The sequence below is a fragment of the Homo sapiens genome, chromosome 3 (assembly GCF_000001405.40).
Source record: "Homo sapiens chromosome 3, GRCh38.p14 Primary Assembly".
Lineage (NCBI taxonomy): Eukaryota > Metazoa > Chordata > Mammalia > Primates > Hominidae > Homo > Homo sapiens.
This window is the reverse complement of record NC_000003.12, coordinates 113,757,077-113,784,884: the sequence shown is the minus strand read 5'-3', so window position 1 is coordinate 113,784,884 and position 27,808 is coordinate 113,757,077. Positions and strand designations below refer to the sequence as shown.

Below are 27,808 nucleotides of genomic sequence, written 5' to 3'. Positions count from 1 at the left end.
ATCATATAGAAATAGAGGCACTCTGCAGGATAAAGTTCAAATGATACTTACAGAGGTATCATAATTCCCAGGTGGAGCAATGTAAGTTACAGTTCCTCTGTTTCGTGGGGGTAACATGATTTTGTGTTTGATAAGCGAGTTCTCACTGACAATTCCATAAATGTCTCCGCCAGTGATATGACTACCAACCTAGAGATAAATGTATTTGCTGTTTAATTTGCAAATAAATGTCAAGTAGACTTGCCCCTGCTGCTATAATTTAAATCAATTACCTGACTTATCAATAAAACATTAGTTCTAAAATCCCATGAAGTAGAGTTAAGAAAAACTTTAAACTATCCTTCTGTAGTCTATTTTTATTTGGACTAAGAGTACAATGTAGTTTACTAAACATTCATTTTATATTCTTTCAATAACTTCAGAAATTCTTGGTTACACAGACATACCCGTAGGTTTTTGCAAGGTGTAAAGTCCCATTTGATATCTCTGCTAAGAGCAGACACGTTTACTCCTCTGGGGATGTAGATGCTTTGGGTCTGACTGCTGATATCCGACAAAGGTCTTTGAATACCATCAAAAATGGCTCCCATAATGCCAGGACCAAGCTCTACAGAGAGGGGTTTACCAGTGCGAAGTACAGGATCTCCAACAGACACACCAGCTAAAAACAGCAGCTAAGGAAAACCTACTATGAAGGTTTAAAGACACAATTAACAGGAAATACCACAGTTTAACAAGGAAATGCCACTCAAGAAGTGAAAACGGAAGTTCCCAAACTTTCTCAGTTCACAGGATTCATAGTGTTTTCAGTAACTTCTTTCAGTGTCCCAGGACAAAAGATATATCTAACACTTGCATTTATTAAACAGTTATGTCTAAACAACCTAATATGTATATACGTCCTAACAACTGAGTAGCAATTTGAAAAAATATATGCATAAGTTGAAAGAAAAAATAATATTAATTTCAGTCCTAAATATCCATAATTCTCATGAATGTATATGCCCTTGGGGAACTATATAATTTTCCAATCTTGCAATCAGATTGGAAACTTGTTCCATTTTGATTGTCACATGATACCTGCTTTTGTAGCTTAGCAACTGCCAAAAACTCAGCTTTGCAAAGATATGACATCATTGACAAAAATATAGTACAGCAACATAATGAAACTGTTTATTATCTCAAGCTACTAGTTCATGTGGTGTCTGACAATATGTCTAACATTCCTGTGTTTGCCTCAAAAATTTTAAATATCCTGGCACCACATGAGTTTGCTGCAGCTTCTCAGAATGACTCTGCAAAGTTTGGGAACCACAGGGCTAAAAACAGAAGCAAAACTCCCTCATTAATACATTGCTTCACATATGCTGCTGAGGAATATCAGTCCCCTAATAAGGGTATTAGTACTTGGACAAAACCTAAAATCTTAAGAATAAAGTTATTTTGAAAACATACAAATAAGAATAAAATATATAAATAAGCATAATGAGTCCACTTTATTCTACACATTTGTTGACAGGAGTAAAATCAGTACAACTTTTCCTGAGAGCAATTTAGCAATATTTATCAAAATTCAAAATGGGTAAGTCGTGACCTAGGAATCCAACTTCTGTGAATTCTTACTATACTTACAATGTAGCACTGTTTATAACAACCAAAAACTAGAAACCAAAACTTCTATCATTAAGACATTGATAAGTAAATAATGGTACATTTATATGATGGAATTGTTATATGGCTGTAAAAAAAAGAACCAGAGTTATCATGAATTCCTCTAGAAATCTCTCTAAACTATGTATTTTCATTTCCAATTTTGATTATGAAAATTTTCAGAACAACAACAAAGTTGAAAGAATTTTACAGTGGACTCCCAGTCTCTACAAGCTAGGTTCTATATTTAACATTTTACTATATTTATCACATATCTATTTATCTTCTAGAATACACATACTTTTAAGTGAAAAAAAGCAAGGTGTATAACAGTACCTAAAATATGCTATCTTGGGAGGCCGGGGCAGGTGGATCGTGAGGTCAGGAGTTCAAGACCAGCCTGGCCAAGATGGTGAAACCCCATCTCTACTAAAAATACAAAAAATTAGCCGGGCATGCTGGCACGTGCCTGTAATCCCAGCTACTTGGGAGGCTGAGGCAGAGAATTGCTCAAACCTGGGAGGCGGAGGTTGCAGTAAGCCGAGATCATGCTACTGCACTCCAGCCTGGGCGACAGAGTGAGACTCTGTCTCAAAAAGCAAACAAACAAACAAAAAAACCATATATATATGTATATATATATATATGTGTATATATATACGTATATATATACACATGTATATATATATATAGAGAGAGAGAGAGAGAGAAAGGAAAGAAAAATACAAATATTTGTATTTGCTCATGTATGTAATTACTAAACTAGAAGGATATAAAATAAAGGGAGCTATAAATGTGGTTCCATGTGTGCATGGAGGTGTGTATGTGTTTTGATAAACGGCTAGATACAAGACAACAAAGGCAAGGAGGGTTGTCACTGTTTACATTTTCATTTATTTTAAATCTTCAAGCCATGAAAAAGATTAAACAGATTAAAAGATAAAAGTAAAAATAGAAAAAATATTTCTGATTAGTCACAATTTCATAGCTACAAAAACTTCTATTTTTATTTAAAATTTCTAGATGATTTTGTTTTAAATTGGCACCTAGTACTATAAAGAGACTAGTTATCTGCACGCATGTGTTTTAGAATGGCAAAAACGTCGTACCAAATAAATCTTGATTAAATACTCAAAGAATTAATGCTGATTTTGAGAATCAAAGTAAAACACATATAGAAGCACTAAAAAAGTGGTTCTTCTTCACTAGGCTTAACCCTTTATTTTTCATAGAAAATTGAAAATAAATACTATGTTTAAAAGCCAAAATTATGATAACCAAATAGTAAAGCTTTCCTAGTAATAAAACTGAAATGTAATATGTCACTCAGTGCTATCAAAAGAATGGTGACCGTTTTATTTGTGGACTTACTATTTTAAACTGAAATCATAATTAGAGAATTTTAACCTCACAAGTCAATATTGTTATTCTGTTTACGCTTTCTTCTACAATATGCGTCCCAATGAAGAAAAAATTCACTTGGTCCCCCTTAAGTTCATGAATTACTGAAGCAGTAAGAGCAATGAAAGTTCAGAAGATACTAATTTCTTAAAATAAGAGTACCAATTCATAGTACTTTTCTCTCTTTCTTTAACATACTCCTGCATAATTCAGGTCTCTTCACAACACCAGCATTTCATGCTTCTAATATCATTAGTTGTTGCTGCTTTGCTGCTTCCACCTTTGGCTTAAATCCTCAATTTTTTTTTTCTTTTCTGAGATGGAGTCTCACTCTGTTGCCCAGGCTGGAGTGCAGTGGTGCGATCTCTGCTCACTGCAACCTCCCACCTCCAGGGTGCAAGCGATTCCCCTGCCTCAGCCTCCCAAGCGGCTGGGATTACAGGCGCCTGCCACTATACCCAGCTGATTTTTGTATTTTTATTAGAGATGGAGTTTCACCATGTTGGCCAGGCTGGTCTCAAATTCCTGACCTCAGGTGATCCACCTGCCTGCCTCCCAAAGTGCTGGGATTACTTTGTGTGAGGCACTATGCCTGGCCTAAATCCTTAAATTTTGAAATATAGAAAGTGGCAGGAAATTGAGCCAAAAAGGATACAAGTTTCTTCATACACCTGAATAGTAGCCATGTCACCCTCCAATCGAATAATCTCTCCAACCAATTCGCTGTGGCCCACTCTCACCAGCTCATACATGGCTGCACCCGCCATGTCACAGGCTGTAACCACTGAAGAGAACAAAAGACTATTTTGATGACTTAAGACTCTAGTGCTCTGTGAATAGTCACAAATAATTAAAACACCCAATAAACCCAGTATTGTGCCTCTCTCATATATTCATAAGAAGGATAAAAACCTACTATGGAACATACTGGTAGTTTCACATAGATATATATTTTAGTGTATAATATAAAGAGGTAAGCCAAAGATTATTTATTTACATAATATACATGAAAACTTTTCAAACATTTCAAGTTCTGCATGGCAAACTTACCTGGTAGGATTCAGGTATGTTCTGAGAGTTGCTATGATACATGGAGTGAAGGCTTTGGAACAATAAAAAAAACTTTTAAAAGTAGAAATTGGAATAAATGGTTTGGCTAGTAGTATGGTAGAATGCCACACAATTATCACTTCGCTGTGCTGTTACCATTTCCTTTGAGAGACAGACCTAAAGCAACATGTTTACTTTCTAATAACTTATAGCAGTAGTTCTTAAAACTCTTCTGGGACATGGACCCTTTTCAAAAACTAATAATAGCTCTACTAGAAAAACTCACACACACATCTACAAAATTTTTTTCATAGGCCGTAAGGATATTTATAATCAGTCACCACCATTGGGTAAGAAATTGTCAATGGAATTCCATTTACTGAACTTACTATTTTGGACCATGTGGTCTAGTAAGCAAAAATTACTTTTCTAGCAGGGAAGGAAGGTTGCCATATTTTTAGACACGTGTAAGAATAAACCAATTTTTAATATTTAGCCTTCTGATACAACTGATTAGAACTATGTTATAGGTAATACTTCAGTGGAAACTATTAAAGCTTTATGAGTTAATTAACCTGTGTAAAAACAATGAAGACTTATTCATTCTATAAATATTTACCTCTATGCCGACTACTTAAGAATTAAGATGCACTGAAATACCAGAGATAATGAAATTTAAAAATCATATTTCATAAGCCAAAAAAGGATGCCATTGTTCCATTACCTTATTAAGTACTTAAGAATTAAAAATTGCAGGAGGCAAGGGGAGGGAGAGCATTAGGACAAATACCTAACGCACGTGGGGCTTAAAACCTAGGTAACAGGTTGATAGGTGCAGCAAGCCACCATGGCACATGTATACCTATGTAACACACCTACACTTTCTGCACATGTATCCCAGAACTTAAAGTAAAATTTAAAAAAATTTTTAAAATAAAATAAAAATTGTTTCCAGGAGCAGTTTACTACACAGTTTCACAGAATATTTTTTCCTAAACTCTCTGATGTTCTTTTGCCTTTTCTCTAAAGGTTCTTGGGTTTAGTCTGTCCATCCTGAAGACCCTTATGATCATTGAGAGGACAATTATTTCTCTGCATGGCAAAAGATACTGATAACCTTTTAATGACCTGCCAATGAAATCAAGCTCAAACACCAAGTTCTTGGGGGAGAAAAAAGAGGCACAGTGACTGACAGTCTTCATTTGCGTAAACATCAAAAAACTGTCATCACCACTACTCTAACTAGAACAAGAAAAAGACTATATAGCATGAGGTTTTAAGGATAATACATCACTGACCAGGTTTTACTTAGAGAAACTGTGACTGTGAATCACATTGTGTAGTGGGAGTATTCAATAACAAAACAAATACTGGCGTAAGATTTATTATTTAAAAAGCAGCACTCCATGTTTTGGCAGAATGGACATAAAGTTTGGGTCCTAAGACTTCTTTCCCACAGGTAGTTAATAATGTGACACTTAAAATAACCATTCAAAAAGTTTCATAAATGCAAAGGGCAAAAGCTAATATTGCTGAGAAATGCTCTGAGCGTTTGAATTATTAAAGTTCAAAGCAAATTAACATTTACTGAATGCCTGCTATATGCAAGGTATTACATATTAAAAGCTATAAACTTCATAGTTTATTTACCTCAAATTTAACAAAAAATTAAGACATATAAAACTGAACACTGGTTGAACATTTACATAATTATAAACAGGATATCACAAAGTAGTACCTCAATAATTATAAAATTTAGATAATCAATGCTAGATGAGCCCTTATGACAGAGATTCTACTTCGGTCTTATAGTCACTATGAGATCGCCTAAGGACAAACAGAATTTATGCAGGTAAACAGAAAGTTGTATATTTCTATGTAAAATATTTTGAAAAGACATTAATCAAAGTTAGATATCCTTATTTTGAGATTATGATGTATTACTTACCAGGTCCTGAGACCCCATGCACATAACCAAATGTGCTTTCTTTATCTTCATCGAGTATTTTGGGTAGCTTGGAAAAATCCATAATGTTAGTTTACCTATAGTAAATAAATAAATAAATAAGTTATAATTATAAACCGTAAAGCAAAAGACCCAAAATATAGGTAGTCCACTAAGATGAGACCACTCTCATCTTTGGTGTATTCTTGAGTTATTATACTTCTTCAAAGTAGAATAAAAAAATTCCTTTTCTTAATTTAAAAAAAATTTTTAAGAGGCTCTCTGTCACCCAGGCTGGAGTGTGGTGGTACAGTCATAGCTCACTGCAGCCTCAGACTCCTGGACTCTAGCGATCCTCCTGCCTCAGCCTCCCAAGTAGCTATGACTACAGGTGTGTACCACCATGCCCAACTAGTTTTTTGTTTGTTTGTTTGTTTGTTTTTTTGAGACAGAGTCTAACTCCACCACCCAGGCTGGAGTGCAGTGGAAGGATCTCTGCTCACTGCAACCTCTGCCTCCCGAGTTCAAGCAATTCCTGTGCCTCACCCTCCAGGGTAGCTGGAATTACAGGTGCACGTGACCATACCTGGCTAATCTTTGTATTTTTAGTAGAGACAGGGTTTTGCCACGTTGGCCAGGCTGGTCTCAAACTCCTGACCTCAAGTGATCCACCCACCTCAGCCTCCCAAAGTGCTGGGACTACAGACGTGAGCCAGCCACTGAACCCAGCCAAAATTCCTAAAATGTAGTTAAAAGTACCCTATTCCTGGATGCTGGATGGTTTTATCACAACTGAATTATATCTCTATGTGAGGTATTTCATAGGAAATATCGATAACTATAACAAAAAATGTGAAGTCTTTTCAATAACTTATCCACCCCCACAACAAGCCCATCCTCAATGACCTCTCTGACTTATCCAGCTACTCTTTCACTTAATCATGCTGCAGATACACACTGAACTCTTTGTCAGCTCTCAAAAACACAAGCACATTCTACCTCAGGGCCTTTGTACAGGTTGTTCCCTCTGCTTAGAATGTTATTCTCCAAGGTATCTGCTCCTACACCTCCTTCAGGTCTTTTTTTCTAACACAGTCTGTCTCCGTCGATTTGGCAGGAGTGTAATGGTGTGATCATGGCTCACAGCCAACTCAACTTCCTGGGCTCAAGAGATCCTCCCACCTCATCCTCCCTAGTACCTGGGACCACAGGTGTGTCCTACCACACCTGGCTAATTTTATTTTCTGTGAAGACAGGATCTCAGTATTTTGCCTAGGCCGGTCTTAAACTCCTGGACTCAAGTGATTCTCTGGCCTTGGCCTCCTGAAGTGTTGGGATTACAGGTGTGAGCCACCATGTTCAGCACTCCTTCAGATCTTTACTCAAACATCACCTTCTCCATGAGGCTTCTCTGTCCATTTATTTAAAACTGCAACATCCTTCCTCCTTCCCTATTTTATACCATAGCACTTTTCACAATGTAACAAATGATATATTTTACTCTTTAAAAGTATTTATTTATTACCTATCTTTAAATTTTAACTATGAGTGTTTTTCCTTTTTTCTTTTAGTGGAACACACAGAATAGTTTAAGAAATTCATTTCAACCTCTTTGTTTATTGATATACAATTTAAAAAACAGGAACTATCCAAGTTCACATTGAAAACTGGTAACAGATGCCAAAGGAGAAAGTTTATTTGTGACTGCTGATCTACCTTAATAACTATTACCAATTTAATGAGGGAGATGAAATACATGTACACATGAAAAGCTAAATAATGTCCAAAATTAACCACAAAGAGTCATAGATCAATAAGTGATAAAGTACCAAATAATATACCCTTATTTACTAAAAGTTCAAAGATTAGAATGTTTAGAGAAGATACCTTGAAGGTCAGGTAGAATTTGCACACAGTAGAAAAAGAAAGGTAGCAAAGACACTGCAGAGGGTAGCGGGGGTGCCAATAACAAAAGAATGGAGAAAAACATTCAGGAATAGTGAACAGACCAGCCTGACTGGTATAAAGACTATATTAGAACAGCAGTGAGAAATAAGGATGTAAGGGTAAAGACTGATTTGTGGATCTTGAACTGACTGCCAAAATAACAAGTGGACTTTATCCTATAAACACAAGGAAATCACTGAAGATTGAGGGAGAACTATTATGAGAAGAATGGTGTTCAACTACTTTAACAGAATTAAAGTAGGGGAGGCAGGATAAGTCGAAGAAGCTCTGGAAATACGTAAGGCTTGAATGTCAATGGAATTCCATTTATTATATGTTTACAGAGCTTTTGAAGCTTTAAATAGCTATATAGCAAAACAAAATGACTTAAATGCTCAATTGAGGTGCAAACACCACCTTGGGAGCACAGGAGAAACTGATTCCAACTTGCAGAAGTGTACACCAATGTGGATGAAATATAGTGAACAGGGAGCTGTAAAGTAAGTTTTTGTTTTTGTTTTTTTGAGACAAGTTCTCGCTGTCACGCAGGCTGGAGTGCAGTGGCGTGATCACGGCTCACTGCAGCCTTGACCTCCTGGGCTCAAGTGATCACCTCAGCCGCCCCCGTCCCCACCCCACCCAGTAGTTGGCATGACAAGCACACGACACCACATCCAGCTAATTTTTACATTTATTGTAGAGACAGGGTTTCACCATGTTGCCCAGATTGGCCTCAAACTCCTGGGCTCAAGTGATCTGCCTGCCTCGGCCTCCCAAAGTGCTGGGATTACAGACATGAGCCACCGCGCCTGGCAGAAATTTATTAGGATTTTTGGCTTCCTGAAAATACAGTAGAAGAAGCCATTAAGAGCAGGCATGGGACTGTAAAACATTGGAATCTAAAGAGACAGAACAAGACGTTCTAGAAACTATGAGATAATACGGGGGAAAACAGAAAGAAGATTTAAAGACAAACATATTTAATTGGACAATAGGTTGGGAAAAGTCTTCAAAGAAGTAGTGAACAAGTGAATGAGGTGAAATTTCAATCTTCAGAAAATCAAAGATTTTCAAAATCAGAGAAGAAACTGACAATCATACACAGTCTAAGTTCCTCCCCACATATGGGTATTTCCTCTATAGCATTCATGATACATGGTCATCTGCCTATTAAAGTGGAAACAGCATGAGATCTTGGGTCAGCAGACTTGGGATCACATCCTGGTCCTACCAATAACATGCTGCAGAACATCTTGGACAAATCAAAATCTCTTAATATCTGCATTTGAAAAACAGTAATAATGCTACCACCTACCCACCAGACTTGCGATTGCATTACAAATTTCCTTAAATGTTCCTTGTGTCTGGGTGCAGTGGCTCATGCCCATAATTCCAGCACTTGGGGGGGCCGAGGTGGGCAAATCACTTGAGGTCAGAAGTTCGAGACTTGCCTAGCCAACACGGCAAAACCCTGTCTCTACTAAAAATACAAAAATTAGCTGGGTGTGGTGGTGGGCGCCTGTAATTCCAGCTACTCAGGAGGCTGAGGCAGGAGAATTGCTTGAACCCGGGAGGAGGAGGTTGCAGTGAGCCAAGACTGCACCACTGCATTCCAGCAGGGACAACAAAAACAAAACTCCATCTCAAAAAAAAAAAAAAAAAGTTCCTTGTGAAATGTAATACGCTTACAAAAATGTCATCAGTTACACTATTTGAATATAGGTCCTGAATTTGGAAAAAGCCATTCTGTTTTTAGAAATACTATCTCACATCCAACCTAAATCTACTTCCCTTAACTTCAATCCTTTGGCCCTATTTTTTCCAATTACTATAGCCACACAAAGTATGTTTCCTCTCCAAGCACATTCTCTTTAGTGCCTTCCATTGTCCCTCAAAGTATAATCTTTTCAGATCCCTCACTCCTGAGACTACCCTTTTCTAGAAGTATTTCACAAGGTCAATATTTCTTTTAAATAGTACAAATAAAAAAACGTTCTACATGCTGTATGAGTGAGTACTGAAGAGTACTACTTCATCTATTCTGAATGCTGCTTTTTTTTTTTCTTTTCTTTTTTTTTTGAGACAGGGTCTCACTCTGTCACCCAGGCTGGAGTGCAGTGGTGCAATCTCGGCTCACTGCAACCTCCACCTCTGAGGTTCAAGCGATTCTTGTGCCTCAGCCTCCTGAGTAGCTGGGACTACAGTGTGTGCCACTATGCCCAGCTAATTTTTGTATTTTTAGTAGAGATAGGGTTTCACCATGTTGGCCAGACTGGTCTTGAACTCCTGACCTCAAGTGATCTGCCCACCTGTAATCCCAAAGTGCTGGGATTACAGGCGTGAGCCACCGCACCCAGCAAATGCTTCCTTTTATTGAGAGACAAATGCCACGGTTTGAAGACTTTGAATTTATAAGTTGTGTCCTTAGGCAAATCAAATTGTTTCATCCTTTTGAGCCTCAGTTTCATCTGTAAAATCTAATGGGGTTTTTGTGAGGCATCTAACAGTATGCCTAACAGAAAAGTAATACTGATGACTACTAATTTTATTCTATTAATATAAGCTAAGATTGCCTTTTTTCTAAAGTGTCCATTTCTAAAGTGTCCAGTGATTCTTACCTCGCTACCAAATCTAGTTGTTCTTATCTTGAACCAAATCTAGTCTCTTAGCTAGTTTTTTTGGAGTTCAGAGAATATACAAGAGCATACCAAGAAATTTCCCTGTTTACGGTAGACTGCTATAGCATCCTGTTTCTTGTTCACAATCTGGGATGGGGTAGATAGTTCTTATCTTGAACCAAATCTAGTTGCTTAGCTAGTTTTTTTTTTTTCCTAGTTATCAGGTGCATTTTATCATAACTTTATTTTCTAAGACCAACTGTATTTTTTTTAAGCATTGATGATGTGCCAGCTGCTGTATTATAGATGGAAAATATAATGAAGTAAGACACAATCTTTCCCCCAAGGATCTTCTGGCATAGTGGAATGAAAAGACAAACAGGTAGTTCTTATAAGGTGACATATGTGCTCTCTTAGAAGTACTATAGGCTGGAGATTTAGAAGAGCATAAAGCAATGGCATCTAACCTAGAGTTGGGCAGGATGAAAGTCACTTAATAGGAGGTTAAGCTGAGACTTGGAGGGATGAACAAAGAGGCATCAGAGTATCTAGTAAAGCTTCCCTACAGATGGTTGAAACCTGTGGTTCAGGACGGTATTCTAAAGTTTATGAGGGAATAATGATGTCTGTTCTGATTTTTTAAAACAAGTATTTATTTACATACTTTCCCTTTAAGACTTAAACAGTGCATGCCTCCAAATGTATGAGCAATGATTAGCGGAAACCAAATGGGTTTGTTCATGATCCAGCAGTCTTGTGGGTTTAGCAGTCAGCTGGAAAATCCTAGCCAGCATGAAAATTTTAATGATTCTATAGTTTTTAACTCTAATTTTTAGGCACATATTATTTAATTTATGCCAAAGACGGCACACTTTAGGAAGTGACATCATACTAATAAGAGAACCTAGAGTCCTAGTGATAAGTCTACAAATTTACTTAAAGATAATTGTCACTAGATCCATAAATTTGCATTAATTTGGTGAATATTCTTGTATTAGCAAACCAAGATGACTGTCCTTTTTAAAAAGCCAATATTGGCCAGGCACGGTGGCTCACACCTGTAATCCCAGCACTTTGGGGGGCCAAGGCGGGTGGATCACGAGGTCAGGAGTTTGAGACCAGCCTGACCAACATGGTGAAACCCCGCCTCTACTAAAAATACAAAAAAATTAGCCGGGCGTGGTGTCGCGCACCTGTAATCCCAACTACTCAGGAGGCTGAGGCAGGAGAAGTGCTTGAACCCAGGAGGCAGAGACTGCAGTGAACCGAGATCGCACCACTGCACTCTAGCCTGGGTGACAGAGTGAGACTCCATCTCAAAAAAAAAAAAAAAAAAAAAAGCCAATATTAAGTGGAGAAAAAAATGATGATGATTCTGATTCTGAGTAATTTAATCTTCTCTACTCCATAGTGTTTATACAGAGAGGTGGTTGTAAATACATCCTGAAATCTGCTCTTACCACATCTTTCATAATAATTATGAAAACACGAGTTTTAAAGTGTAAACTTCCAAGCATTTTTGTCCATTTGGTTTTTTTTTTTTTTTGAGATGGAGTCTTGCTCTGTCGCCCAGGCTGGAGTGCAGTGGTGCAATCTTGGCTCACTGCAAGCTCCGCCTCCCAGGTTCACGCCATTCTCCAGCCTCAGCCTCCCGAGTAGCTGGTACTATAGGTGCCTGCCACCACGCCCGGCTAATTTTTTTGTATTTTTAGTAGAGACGGGATTTCACTGTGTTAGCCAGGATGGTCTCGATCTCCTGACCTCATGATCCGCCTGCCTTGGCCTCCCAAAGTGCTGGGATTACAGGCGTGAGCCATGGTGCCCAGCCCCATTTTGATATTTTAAAATATTTACATTTTAATCTGCTACAGCAACATGGATCTTTTATATTTCCTGTGCTCCTCCCTAGAATGTTCTTTTCTCCAGGATTCATTTCTTCACATCATTCATGTCTCTGCTCAAATATCCCCAGTCCAAAAGCACTCCCATAGTGATTACTGAATAACTAACAGCTGTCAACCCTTCAAGGTCAGCCTCAGATGCAGAGTGCTGCCTTGCCTGCATTCACACCACTTGCAGGGCAGTGTGCACCTGCTGAATGGACACAATGGAGGTACAAAGGCCCAGCCATCTCAGCCTGATGCAGGATACTCTCACAAGCAACAATCACTCCAGATCTCTCCCACTAGGTAACTGAGGCTCTGAGGGACTTGCACTGCATTTCAACTTCTTCCTCTGCCCAACTCTGCTTCCACCCACTTCCTTTCAAATGTATTGATCCAGGTAAACATCGAAGTGAATAACCACTCCTCTATCTACCCCATCCCAGAATGTGACCAGAAACAGGATGCTATAGCACTCTACCGTAAGCAAGGAAATTTCTTGGCATGCTCTTGTATATTCTCTGAAATCCAAACAAGTTTTATACTCTACTTCATCTCATACAATAAATTTTATAAGAAAAATATGTACCTTATAAATATATACACTTATGTATCCATAAAAATAAGAAACTGAAAAAACTAAAGAAAAAAAGAGGCCGGGCGCGGTGGGTCATGCCTGTAATCCCAGCACTTTGGGAAGCCGAGGCAGGCGGATCATGAGGTCAGGAGATCGAGACCATCCTGGCTAACATGATGAAACCCCGTGTCTACTGAAAATACAAAAAATTAGCCGGGTGTGGTGGCAGGCACCTGTAGTCCCAGCTATTCAGGAGGCTGAGGCAGGAGAATGGCCTGAACCCGGGAGGCGGAGCTTGCAGCAAGCGGTGATCACGTCACTGCACACCAGCCTGGGCGACAGAGCGAGACTCCGTCTCAAAAAAAAAAAAAAAAAAAAAAAAAAGAGAAAAATATGCAAGTGTTTTTTCCCCACAGTGAAATAAAAATTACTCATCAGGTAGACATACTATGGTGACCTGATGACTGAATAGGGCTAAACATATAGCATTTTGGTAAGCATGGTCATACAACATACTAATTTGTTTATAACTCTTCTTTATTATCTGTGAATAGTTAAAAATATCCCATTAAAATCTTCTGCTTCATCATTGAATGCTTACGCCTCTCAGTGAAAAATAGGCTTTTAAAAATGTTAAAACAAACTCCTAGAACACCAACTTTCAATAAGCAAATTATACTGCAAGTTAGATTATATTCAAAGTTAATTTTTTTTTTTTTTTGATGGAGTCTCCCTCTGTTGCCCAGGCTGGAGTGCAGTGGCATGATCTCGGTTCGCAGCAATCTCCGTCTCCCAGGTTCAAGCAATTCTCCTGCCTCAGCCTCCCGAGTAGCTGGAATTACAGGCATGCGCCCCCACACCCAGCTAATTTTTTTGTATTTTTAGTAGAGACGGGGTTTCACCTTATTGGCCAGGCTGGTCTTGAACTCCTGACCTTGTGATCTGCCCGCCTCGGCCTCCCAAAGTACTGGGATAACAGGCATGAGCTATCACGCCTGGCCTGAAAGTTAATTTTATCCCAAATCTCTATAAGGTCCAAACTATGATATGATTTAATGCTACATAAAATAGCTTTACAGGCTATTTAATAACTCCTTCTTAAGACAATATACAGCTATTGATTTTCTTTTTTTTTAAGACAGAGTCTCAGTCTGCTACCCAGGCTGGAGTGCGGTGGCACGATGTTGGCTCACTGCAATGTCCACCTTCCGGGTTCAAGCGATTCTTGTGTCTCAGCCTCCCAAGTAGCTGGGACTATAGGCACGAGCCACCATGCCTGGCTAATTTTTTGCATTTTTAGTAGAGACGGGATTTCGCCAAGTTGACCAGGCTAGTCTGGAACTGCTGACCTCAGGAGATCCACCCGCCTTGGCCTCCCAAAGTGCTGGGATTACAGGCATAAGCCACCGTGCCCGGCCTATACAGCTATTGTTGTTCTCCAACATTTAAAAAATAAAAGCATGAGGCCAGTCTCGATAATTCATGCCTGTAATCCCAGAACTTTGGGAGGCCGAGGCAGGTAGGTTACTTGTGGTCAGGAGTTCAAGACCAGCCTGGCCAACATGGTGAAACCCTGCCTCTACCAAAAAATACAAAAATTAGCCAGGTGTGGTGATGCAAAACTGTAGTCCCAGCTACTTGGGAGGCTGGAGGAGGAGAAATGCTTGAACCCGGGAGGTGGAGGTTTCAGTGACTGGAGATTGCTCCACTGCACTCCAGCCTGGGTGACAGAGTGAGAGTCTCAAAAATAAATAAATAAATAAATAAATAAATAAATAAATAAAAGCAGGAATACTTATTACATACTTTGATGAAAGCAGTGTGGTATACACAGATGCACTCATAGAAAAATCAAATCAATGATTATATAAAAATGTTGCCTTTAGCTGTTTTGACTTCAACTGTGTTTAAGGATAAAAAGTAAATGCAACTTACAACTAAGATTCTTTGGTTACAAATTATAGCAGTGCCCCTCCCTACCCAATTTGTGAAAGATTTAAACAAAAACCAAAACCCTGTGGTAGAAGAGGAAAAATCCAGAAAGGCAGCATAGGCAACTGATCTGAGTTAATGAGTCATCAGCCTCTCCCCAACAGGCACTGCAGAACACTGCAGTGGCAAATAACACCAGAGGAAAAAATTTTTTTCCTATAAAGTCCACTCCAAATTGCTGCTGGTTAATGCAACTGGTAATTTCATTATTTCAGAAATTATTCTTTTTATTACCAAAGTCTTGGATGATATGGCTGTTGGGGGCAAAGGGGAGGTGATATATAAAAGTTAAACACTAAGATTCCAAGGTAATATTTACTCACATACAAAATCCTGGGGCACTTCATTGATAATGAAGCATTATTTTGATGTAACACTTGTTACATTAGAGTGTAATGAAAAAATACATTCTATCTAATTGATTAAAGACTATCTCTGGAAATCACAGATTTTTTTTAAAAAAGATTCAGAAGAATCTAATGGATTATAACCAATTACTTATTTTCACACACTGTTAATCTTTTTAGAGAAAGGTATCTTAAATCTGTTTAATATTTTTATGTTTGGTCAGAAAGTTATAGAACAGGTGGAATTCCAACAAATAACATTACCTGATCATACTTTTAGAGTATAGTGCTAGTCATTTTGTGACACTCTCTATTCATCTCCTTCAATCCACCTACCTAGCAATCCTATTAGAATGGCTTATGTGGCAGATTTATTTCACTATGTATATTTAGTTTCCTGATTTTTCCTTGCCAACCAAAAGCCAACTTTGTTCAAAATTTGTTAAGCCTATTATTGTAATTCCAGTTCCCTCGACTGCTTTGGAAATAAGCACATAATAAATGATGTTCTAACCATAAGAATTAAGGCAAAATCTGTTGGAGACCTTCTGGAAATAATTTCTTTGTTCTTTTAAAAGATGCAGGCAGCTGGGCACGGTGGCTGTAATCCCAGCACTTTGGGAGGCCAAGGTGGGTGGATCACATGAGGTCAGGAGTTTGAGACCAGCCTGGCCAACGTGGCGAAATCCCATCTCTACTAAAAATACAAAAATTAGCCAGGCATGGTGACGTGCGTCTGTAGTTCCAGCTACTTGGGAGGCTGAGGCAGGAGAATCACTTGAACGTGGAAGGCAGAGGTTGCACTGAGCCGAGATTGCGCCACTGCACTCCAGCCTGGGCAACAGAGTGAGACTCCATCTCAAAAAAAAAAAAAAAAAAAAAGATACAGGCTATGAGAAACAATACTCTCCTTTGGGATTTGGTCATCTGCCTGGGACATCTGGAACTGCGGCAGCCATATTAGGACCTTGAGGGAGCTAAGCAGGCAGCCCACCTTGCTAAGGATGACAAAATAGAAAGACAAAAGACATCTGAGTCCTTGTTGCCTTTATTGGCACACTCAATTAACCAACACAACAAGAAAGGACTTTGAAAAATAAATATTTTTATATTGTACATATTTCATAGTGCTTTTTAAAAAAATAAACCAAAAGGTTAAGAATATACATAAGGTCATCAATGAAGTAATCCATAAGAATTACTAAGGTGGACTACAATGAAATGTGTAGACAAAAGCAGGAATCAAAGAGCAGAGAACAGCAAAGTCACAGATGGCAAACTGGACTAACAATCAGGAAAAACTTATTCTTATTGGAATAAAATTATCTGAGGACACACACACACTCTTCTATTTTAACTGTATATCAAAACTAAGGCATTCCTGAAAAAGAAATAGTGAAGATAAAACGCTAGGGTGGACACTTAAACTGGGAATGGAATTTAAATTGTGTCAGCTAAACACACTTACAGTTCATCAACAAGCTTGTCCAGAAATGATTTTTATGTCACTTTTAGAAATGGATTACTTTCCAGCCAGGCACGGTGGCTCACATCCCAGCACTTTGGGAAGCCAAGGCCAGTGGGTCACGAGATCAGGAGTTCAAGACTTGCCTGGCCAAGATGGTGAAACCCTCTCTCTACTAAAAATACAAAAACATTAGCTGGGCATGGTGGCAGGTGCCTATAATCCCAGCTACTAGGGAAGCTGAGGCAGAGAATTGCTTGAACCCAGGAGGCGGAGGTTGCAGCGAGCTGAGATTGAGCCACTGCACTCCAGCCTGGGCGACAGAGCAAGACTCCAACTAAAAAAAAAAAGTAGATTCCTTTCCCTTCAAATTTTTACAAATAAAATTGTGCAATATTGGGTGAAACAGTAACAAAATACTGTATTGAGTGTACAAGTTCCACAATATCAATGTATACGCTAGAAGCCTATGGTCAATGGTAAAACTGATGTACGGATTCAAGTATCCCTGCCCTCAAAGTGCGTATTATATCATTTTCCTACTTCCTCCCTTCCATATGGCATAGTGTCTTATACAGCAGTAACTCAGTAAAATGTTCTGAAATTAAAAACAGATAACATCAGGCTGGGCGCAGTGGCTTACACCTGTAATCTGAGCACTTTGAGAGGCTGAGGCAGGTGGATGAGGTCAGGAGTTGGAGACCAGCTTGGCCAACATGACAAAACCTGGTCTCTACTAAAAATACCAAAATTAGCCGGGCATGGCGGCGTGTGCCTGTAATCCCAGCTACTCGGGGCGCTGAGGCAGGAGAATTGCTTGAACCCAGGAAGCTAAGGTTGCAATGCGCCAAGATCACGCCACTGCACTCTAGTCTGGGCGCCAGAGCAAGACTCTGTCTCAAAAAAAAAAAAAAAAAAAAAAAGACATAACATCAACTACTATTTGTTAAGTACATATCACACTCCAGGCATTATGTTAAAAAAAGCAAACATCTCTTTAATTCTTAACACTAGTCCTATGAAATAGGTATTATTTGATTAAGAAATAGGGGACAGAACTAAAGAGTGATGATGCCCAGATTTGGTCTGGTCACAACACCTAGGTATGTAATAAATAATTCAAAACACCTTACTTCGACAGTAGTTTTCACCTTTAGCTATTAGGCTGCTGCAAAAGTAATTGCTGTTTTGCCATCGAAAGCAATGGCAAAAACTGCAATTACTTTTGCACCAACTATACCATTTTTAGAAAAGAAAGCCATGTGTCATGGACTAAATGTGTCCCCCCAAAATTCACATTTTAATTCCAACCCTCAATGTGATGGTATTAGGAAGTGAGGCCTTTGGTACATAATTAGGTCCTGAAGGTGGAGCCCTCATGAATGGGATTAGTGCCCCTCTAGAGATGATCTCTGAGCTGGATGCAGTGGCTCATGCCTGTAATCTCAGCACTTTGGGAGGCTAAGGCAGAAGGATTGCATGAGTCCAGGTGTTCAAGAACAGAATAGGTAACATAGTGAGACCTTGTCCCTACAAAAAATTAAAAAATTAGCTGGGCGTGGTGGTGTGCACCCATAGTCCCAGCTACTTAGGAGGTTGAAGTGGAGGACTGCTTGAGCCTGGGAGGTTGAGGCTGCACTGAGCCATGGTCGCACTGCTGCACTCCAGCCTGGGTGACAGAGCGAGACTGTCTCAAGGGAAGCGAAAAAAAGAAAGAGAGAGAGAAAGAGAGAGAGATGATCTCTGCTCTCTACCATGTGAGGATACAAGAAGATGTCCATCTACAAACCAGAAGGAAGCAGGCCCTGACCAGACACAGGATCTATAGGCACCTTGACCTCGGACTTCCCACACTCCAGACTATGAGAAATGTTGCTGTTTAAGTCACATAGTCTATGGCAATTTGTTACAGCAACCAAACTAAGACTTTTTTGTATTATTTACTGACCCTATGTAAAAACGCAAGCACAAGGGAGAAGATGAAAAAAAGGTGACATAATGGGACATTTTGTGAATACAAACTAAGGAGTAATTAGTAAAACAAGAATTGATTGTTCCTAAATTACCCATCTCCTTTTTTTTTGAGATGGAGTCTTGCTCTATCACCCAGGCTGGAGTGCAGTGGTGCGATCTCGGCTCACTGCAACCTCCGCCTCCTGGGTTCATGCGATTCTCCTGTCTCAGCCTCCCGAGTAGCTGGGATTACAGGTACGTGCTACCACACCTGTCTACCTTTTTTTTTTTTTTGTATTTTTAGTACAGATGGGATTTCACAATGTTGGCCAAGCTGGTCTTGAACTCCTGATCTCAAGTGATCTGCCCACCTCGGCCTCCCAAAGTGCTGGGATAACAGGCCGAGCCACCGCGCCCGGCCACTCATCTCTCTCTCTCTTTTTTGTTTTTTGAGATGGAGTTTTGCTCTTGTTGCCCAGGCTGGAGTGCAATGGCACCATCTCAGTTCACTGCAACCTCCACCTCCCGGATTTAAGCTACTCTTCCTGCCTCAGCCTCCCAAGTAGCTGGGATTACAGACATGCGCCACCACACCTGGCTAATTTTGTATTTTTAGTAGAGATGGGGTTTCACCACATTGGTCAGGCTGGTCTTGAACTCCTGACCTCAGGTGAACTGCCCGCGTCGGCCTCCCAAAGTGCTGGATGAGCCACTACGCCTGGCCCCATCTCTTACAGAACTAAGATTTTTAAAAAACATAACATTGTATTTTACTAATACCTAGCTTTATAACACAAACATAACCAACTAACTATATTAGCCAAAAAAAAGATAAAACATCAATGTGACTACAAAGTAAATGGACATATCTAAGAGGAAAATGGGCATATTTGAGGATAATCAGAATATTAATGCCCACAGACTCGATACAACTTTGCTACTATTAAAAATAGAGAACAGAAGTGGAAAATTTCTGGTCAATTATTTTAAGTTCAGAACAACAAAGCTACCTGAAACAGAATTTGGGTAAGAAATTCCTGCTTTTTTTTTTTTTTTTTCAATTAAGACAGGGTCTGGGTCTGGCTTTATCACCTATGCTGGAGTACAGTGATGCAATCTCGGCTCACTGCAACCTCAGCTCACTGTAACCTCCACCTCCAGGGCTCAAGTGATCCCCCCACCTCAGTGCTGGGATTACAGGCATGAGCTAGGATTACAGGCATGATTACAGTGCTGGGATTACAGGCATGAGCCACTGTGCCGGGCCTTATTTTTTTTATTTCTTAAACTTGATAAACTGAAGGGGGAAAAGTAATTGTAAAGCTCACATTAATATCCCACATTTGAATTTTTAGGAAATTTTCCTGATTTCAGGTTACAAAGAAAAAACAAGACATCAAAGAAGATCCTATTGATTTAAAGCTTAACTTACCTATGATGCAAACAGCCAAGAAGACAGCCAACAATATAAATAGAAAAGAAAGCATTTGTTACACATCTTTCTTTAAAATCTGTTTTCAGAAGCAATATGCTTATAATTTTAAAAATACCTAATGAAAGATCTCACCATTTGAATATGATTGACATTATTTCCCAATTAATTTTTTTTACATAATTGTAATCAATACTAGCATAAAATTATTTTACTTCAATTTTTCTATGCGCTACACAGTCTTTGTGTCATCTTAAACTGTATACTATTCCATTAAATAGATACCATACTTTACCTAACAACAATAACTCTCTCTACTGCGTACCAAGACTGCTTCCTATTTGGGACTGTTATTAACATTTTGCTAATATACTTTTTTTTCTTTTTTTTTTGAGACAAGGTCTTGCTCTGTCACCCAGGCTGGAGTACAGTGGTGCGATCAAGGCTCACTGCAGCCTCAATCTCTTGGGCTAAAGCAATCTCCTGCCTTAGCCTCCCTTACTGGGACCACAGGCATGTACCACCATGCCCAGCTTTTTGATTTTTATGTAAAGACAAAGTCTCATTCTGTTACCCAGGCTGCTCTTGAACTCCTGGGCTCAAGTGATCCTCCCGCTTCGGCCTCCCAAAGTGCTGGGATTACAGGTGTAAGCCACTGCACCCTGCCACTTTAATTCAATTTAACTTACTGACTAGGTAAAGTCAAGGTAAGACAACCACCTAAGAATTCATGCTGATGTCTCACAACAGCAATTCTTACAAACACACAGATCCCTATCTAGAAGTTAACACCATATTTCACCTAATCTAAGATAATATCAATTTTAATAAACTCCTTTATTTGATGTACTACTAAGGAAAAAAACCTGACAAATTATGGCATTCCAGAAATTGCAGGACAGGCACTAATTTCAGAGCTGTTAAAAATATGGGAGAAAAATGTCCTAGAAACAACAAAATATGGTATTAGAACTAAATACAGTACAATATTTATATACACGAGAAGTGAGACTTGCCAACCTCAATAGAAATAAAGTGAAGACCTAAGAAACAGGAAAACAAAAGATCTCTGAACTCGTAGAATGACAGTCTTAAAGCTTCTGCACATGGCAAAAGACCTGCATACAGTCTTAGGACTCAATTTATGCACAATTAAAAATTATTACCTAATACTTTGGATCACTGCAGATTTAAAGCAGCAAATCATTAGAGAGCTACTCTATAAGAATACATGGAAGGACTGGGTGTGGCGGCTCATGCCTGTAATCCCAGCACTTTGGGAGGCCAAGGTGGGCGGATCACGAGGTCAGGAGATCGAGACCATCCTGGCTAACACAGTGAAACCCCGTCTCTACTAAAAATACAAAAAATTAGCTGGGCGTGATGGCAGGTGCCTGTAGTCCCAGCTACTCAGGAGGCTGAGGCAGAATGGTGAACCCAGGAAGCGGAGGCTGCAGTGAGCCGAGATTGCGCCACTGCACTCCACAGCCTAGGTGACAGAGCGAGACTCTGCCTCAAAAAAAAAAGAATAAATGGAAGGTAAAAAGGAAAGAGATGTTAATTGACTAATGGTAATAAGAATGACCCATAACCATCAAGAAAAGGTCAATTTGGGTTTATTATTTTCTAGGAAACATGGGGAAAAAATTGGTAATATGCAACCACGCCCTTAAAGATGTTCAAGCCTTTTGACTCAAAAACTGTATTTCTGAGAATATATTTGGCATGTGGATAAGGACTTATTTATATACGTGTTTATTGTTATACTGCAATATTAGAAAAACCTTTAAAATCCAATAATGACAACATAATGTAGTATTAATTTATCTGAAATCCTACAGTATTCCCCCCCCACAAAATGTACTTAATAATAATAATGAAATTTCTTATGTTAAATAGTCTACAATTCCAAGTTCGTAGTGCCAAGGACTGTCATCAGCAAACTCTCTTCCTGAATCCTGAACCTTCATGGTGTATTAGCACTGCAATGACTGGCTTTTGGATAGGCTTTTGTCAGATAAACTGCCTATGAAATGACTTTACCATTTTTTTTTTTGAGATGGAGTTTTGCTCTTGTTGCCTAGGATCGACTGCAATGGCGCAATCTCGGCTCACTGCAACCTCCACGTCCTGGGTTCATGTGATTCTCTTGCCTCAGCCTCCCGAGTAGCTGGGATTACAGGTATGCGCCACCACGCCCAGCTAATTTTGTATTTTTAGTGGAGACAGGGTTTCTCCAAGTTGGCCAGGCTTGTCTCGAACTCCTGACCTCAGGTGATCCGCCCGCTTTGGCCTCCCAAAGTGCTGGGATTACAGGCGTGAGCTGCTGTGCCCAGCCAACTTTACCAATTTTTTTCAAAATTCAGGCAATCATGCAGGAAAATTATCACCTTCAAAAGAAGTCAAACTAGAAACTGTATGACTACTTTAAAAAGGCAATTGCTTAAAATACTTAGAAACTTTTTTTTTTTTGAGACAGAGTTTTGCTCTTGTTGCCCAGGCTGCAGTGCAATGGCGCGATCTTGGCTCACCACAACCTCTGCCTCCCGGGTTCAAGCAATTCTCCTGCTTCAGCCTCCAGAGTAGCTGCGATTACAGGCATGTGCCTCCATGCCCAGCTAATTATGTATTTTTAGTAGAGTTGGGGTTTCTACATGTTGGTCAGGCTGGTCTCGAACTCCTGACCTCAGGTGATCCGCCCGCTTTGGCCTCCCAAAGTGCTGGGATTACAGGCGTGAGCTGCTGTGCCCAGCCAACTTTACCAATTTTTTTCAAAATTCAGGCAATCATGCAGGAAAATTATCACCTTCAAAAGAAGTCAAACTAGAAACTGTATGACTACTTTAAAAAGGCAATTGCTTAAAATACTTAGAAACTTTTTTTTTTTTGAGACAGAGTTTTGCTCTTGTTGCCCAGGCTGCAGTGCAATGGCGCGATCTTGGCTCACCACAATCTCTGCCTCCCGGGTTCAAGCAATTCTCCTGCTTCGGCCTCCAGAGTAGCTGCGATTACAGGCATGTGCCTCCATGCCCGGCTAATTATGTATTTTTAGTAGAGTCGGGATTTCTACATGTTGGTCAGGCTGGTCTTGAACTCCCGACCTCAGGTGATCTACCCACCTCGGCCTCCCAAAGCGCTGGGATAACACGTGCGAGCCACCAAGCCCAGCCGAAACTTATTTTTAAAACTTTACAATTACCATATTACTCTCGTTACTGAGCAAATTTTGATGGCTTTGCCAAAAAAAAAAAAATCATGAGCAGCTAAACTAGCCAAATGTAAGAAATGTAGGCATTTGAGACTGACACACATACAAGGAACAAAAAAGAGACAGCATCAACAGTGTTGTACTAAAAATGCTATTACACTTATAAAATGATGCTGTCTAGGTACGGTGGCTCATGCCTGTATTCTCAGCTACTTGGGAAGCTGAGGTGGGAGGATCACGCTTGAGTCCAGGAGTTCAAGACCAGCTTGGACAACACAGTGAGACCCTGTCTCAAAAAAAAAGAAAAAAAAAAAGAAAAGAAAAGAAAATATGTCTATTTTTTTTTTCTTTGAGACAGAGTCTCGCTCTATGGGCAGGCTGGAGTGCAGTGGCGCGATTTAGGCTCACTGCAACCTCCCCCTCCCGGATTCAAGCAATTCTACTGCCTCCGCCTCCCGAATAGCTGAGACCGCAGGTGTGTGCCACCATGCCCAGCTAATTTTTGTTTGTTTAGTAGAGACAGAGTTTCACCATATTGGCCAGGATGGTCTCGATCTCTTGATCTTGTGATCTGCCTGCCTTGGCCTCCCAAAGTGCTGGGATTACAGGGGTGAGCCACTGTACCTGGCCGATGTCTATATTTAAACGAATCCATCCTGTCATTTGTTTAGTTTTATTTTTTATTTTTTTGAGATGGAGTCTTATTGTTGCCCAGGCTGGAGTGCAATGGTGCGATCTCGGCTCACTGCAAGCTCCAAACTCCCGGGTTTATGCCATTCTCCTGCCTCAGCCTCCTGAGTAGCTGGGACTACAGGCACCCGCCACCACGCCCAGCTAATTTTTTGTATTTTTAGTAGAGACAGGGTTTCACCATGTTGGCCAGGATGGTCTCGATCTCTTGATTTTGTGATCCGCCCACCTCGGCCTCCCAAAGTGCTGGGATTACAGGCGTAAGCCACCATGCCCAGCCATCCTCTCGTTTATTTAATGGATGGAATAGAAGAGGACAAAGGTTCATAAACTGTGCTCAGGTATATTAACCCAATGTTTAGAAGAGAGTGTTACATAAATAGGTTCACATTTAATTCAGGAATTCATAAAATCTCTGCAATAAAAATATATCCTAAAGCACAAAGGATAAAAGAAGAAAAGAATGCTGCCTAAGATAGGTGAAAAAACACCTCACAATCTGGATTTAAATAATGACTATAGTCAAAAGTCCAGACATTTTCAATTCAGAGGACAAGAAATCTGTGTTTCTAACAGTTTACCTAGTATACTATGATTAACAACCAGGGTTTATTTAACTAAACTAGTTGTGGGGAGAGGAGAAGTTTTCAATAGTATGATTTACTAAGAAATTAACTGCCTGCTCCTCTGGTATGTGCTCAAGGTCTCTAATATTGCTTCTTAATAGCACTTACTACTCTTGTGATTAAAAAATGTGAAAGAAGCTGTTCAATGTCTGTCTTCACTTCCAGACTATAAATGCTAGAAAAACAGGGACCGCCTCTGCTTTGTTTATTGAACACCCCAATTATCCAGTAAAATGCCTTGGCACATAGTAGGCAATTACTAAATATTGTTCAGTGACAGTACTGGCAAGGGTGTGGGGGGAAATAGAAACTCTAATCGTTGAGTGAAAACTGATAAAACCCTTTCAAAGTACACTGAATACACATTTTGGCCTAATGCTTGATGGCCAAGATTTTTAAAATATTCAACTGACGCCAAAGCTGAATCCAAATATTACCATCACAGAATGACCTTCTAAGATCAAAAATTATGATTAAATATTCTTAAATATTAAGAAAATATTAAATTAGATTCAATTTATTAAGTTATAATTTTATTAATAATTTTAATGGTCAATTTGTTCAATCTTGTGAATGGTAGAACACATATAATTCTATAATGAACAGATAAAATTTAATCCCTATTAATCTGCCTAGTATTATTATTTAAAATTTTACAAAATTTATTAGCTCAAAAAGGCTCTACTCCAACACATATATGGACAACTGGCTTTTGACAAAAGTGCAAAGGCAATTCAGTGTAGAAAGCATATTGTCTTTTCAACAAGTGGTGGTAGAACCAACGTATACATAAAATGCAAAAAAAAAAAAAAACCCGTAACTATATAGAAAAATCTAAAAATGGATGGTAGACCTAAATGTAAAACCTAAAACTATAAAACTTCCTTTGTGACCTTGGATTTGACATAACGCTAAAAGCACAATCCACAAAAGAATAAAATGGTAAACTGGACTTCAAATCTCTGCTCATCAAAAAACATTGTTAGAACAAAAAGACAAGGTAAAGACTGGGAGAAAATATTTACAGACATAAACCTGACAAAGAACTTATATCCAGAATCTACAAAGATCAAAACTCAATAATAGGAAAACTCAATTAAAACAGGCAAAAGATTTGAACATTCACTTAACCAAGGAAGATAGATGGCAAAGTACATGAAAAGATGCTTAAGCTCATTAGTCACTAGGAAAATGCAAGTTAAAACCACAATGAAATGCCATTCCACAGCTATCAGAATGGCTAAAAGTTTAAAAGACTGACAAAGGAAGTGTTGGTAAGGATGTAGAACAACTAACACACTCACATATTGCTAGTAGAACTGTAAAATGGTACAACCACTTTGGAAAACAGTTTGGCAGTTTCTTAGAAAGTTAAAATTACACTTACCATATGATTCAGCCATTCTACTCCTTGGTATTTCCCCATGAGAAAGCTTATGTCCAAAGACTTACATGAATGTTCATAGGACCTTTATTCATAATGGCCAAAAAGTGGAAAGACAGCACAAATATCCAGCAATGGGTGAATGGATAAACAAACTATGGTATATCCATAAAATGGAATAATAGTCAGCAAGGAAAATATGAATCATCGATACATGTAATGCAAACTAACTATAATGATAGAAAATAGATCAGTGGATGGTTAAGGACAGGAGGTGGGGAGGTATGGAAGGACAGGATTAAAAAGAGGAACAAAGAAACTTCTCTTGGGTGTGATGGATATGTTCACTATATTGATTACAGTGCTGGCTTCATGTGTGTATACATATATTAAAACTTATCCAACTGTATACTTTATGTGCAGATATGTCAATTATATATCAATAAAATTATTTTTTAAAAAGCACAAGTTATTGCCAGCATGACTCCTATAAAGGCATGCTTCCACAGGACACATGTTCACTTTTGCTTTTATTTGTTGACTAATAGAGTATTTCTTTTCTTTTCTTTTTTTGAGACAGAGTCTCACTCTATCGCCAGGCTGGAGTGCAGTGGGTGTGATCTCAGCTCACTGCAACCTCTGCCTCCTAGGTTCAAGTGATTCTCCTCCCTCAGCCTCCTGAGTAGCTGGGACTACAGGTGCACACCACCACGCCCAGCTAATTTTTGTATTTTCAGTAGAGATGGGGTTTCACCATGTTGGCCAGGATGGTCTCAATCTCTTGACCTCGTGATCCACCCACCTTGGCCTCCCAAAGTGCTGGGATTACAGGCGTGAGCCACCAGGCCCAGCCAACTAATATAGTATTTCTAAAGGACTATTTGACCTATGCAAATTTGTTAAGAGAATTTTAACCCTAGAAACAGCATAGGGGCAACAGATGAAAACTTAGCCAAACCAGTTTTTTGTCTGTCTATTTAGAATAAATATATGTGGCTCTGGATAAGGCTGTGTGGGCACTCTCTGGTCCTGCCAAGTTTAACTAATTCTGGGAATTTCCACAGTCACTTAATAGCTCAGGAGTGTAGAAGTCAGATATGCCTCTTAAGTACTTTATTCATCTATATTTTCAGAATGGGGCTAATGGCATATCAGCTTACAATATGTTGAATGAGAATTTAGGAAAATATTAACTCCATCTTGAACACACTTTCGTGCCATGAGGCATAGAAGGGTTTGTTGTCCAAGACTCAGATTAAGCTCTAATAATTTGGACATCAAAGTTGATATGGCTCAATGGCTCATTTGGAGGGTGGAGGTATAGGGAAAGTTATTTTCTGTTGCTTTATACTACTCTGAGGTAGAATTAGCTCACAATAAATAACTGTTTCTGACAGCCTGTTTATCTCTATTTACAGCTACTTTCCAAGCTGTCCCTATACCCAGTAGAGTACCTTAGGGAGAATGAGGTGATATTTAAAACACACACACACGCCCCACTGTACAATAAGCAGGTACTACAGGGCCATATTCAGGCACTGCAGGTATACTACGTTGGGACCTGAGAAGATTCTGTATTTTAAGTGTCTATTTTGGATCACATTGAAGAGTTTGGTGTCAGTCAATCTGCTTCTTAGATT

The 27,808-nt window shown here is 39.2% G+C and overlaps 1 protein-coding gene across 3 annotated transcripts in view; it reads right to left on the bottom strand.

Annotated features, from left to right (window-relative positions):
• Positions 1-27,808, bottom strand: part of ATP6V1A (ATPase H+ transporting V1 subunit A) — a 65,022-nt gene that overhangs the window by 27,172 nt on the left and 10,042 nt on the right. Inside the window, exons 2-6 of one of the 3 annotated variants that reach the window (XM_047448306.1) lie at positions 16,321-16,408; positions 6,050-6,144; positions 3,707-3,835; positions 447-661; positions 52-189 (exon numbers count right to left, since the gene is read on the bottom strand). In XM_047448306.1, the coding sequence (XP_047304262.1) occupies positions 52-189; positions 447-661; positions 3,707-3,835; positions 6,050-6,131 (564 nt within the window). In that variant the 5' untranslated portion in view covers positions 6,132-6,144; positions 16,321-16,408. Of the gene's footprint in view, positions 1-51; positions 190-446; positions 662-3,706; positions 3,836-6,049; positions 6,145-16,320; positions 16,409-20,260; positions 20,700-27,808 lie in introns of those variants that run through there. The other 2 variants (XM_047448305.1, NM_001690.4) reach the window with 2 other exon arrangements.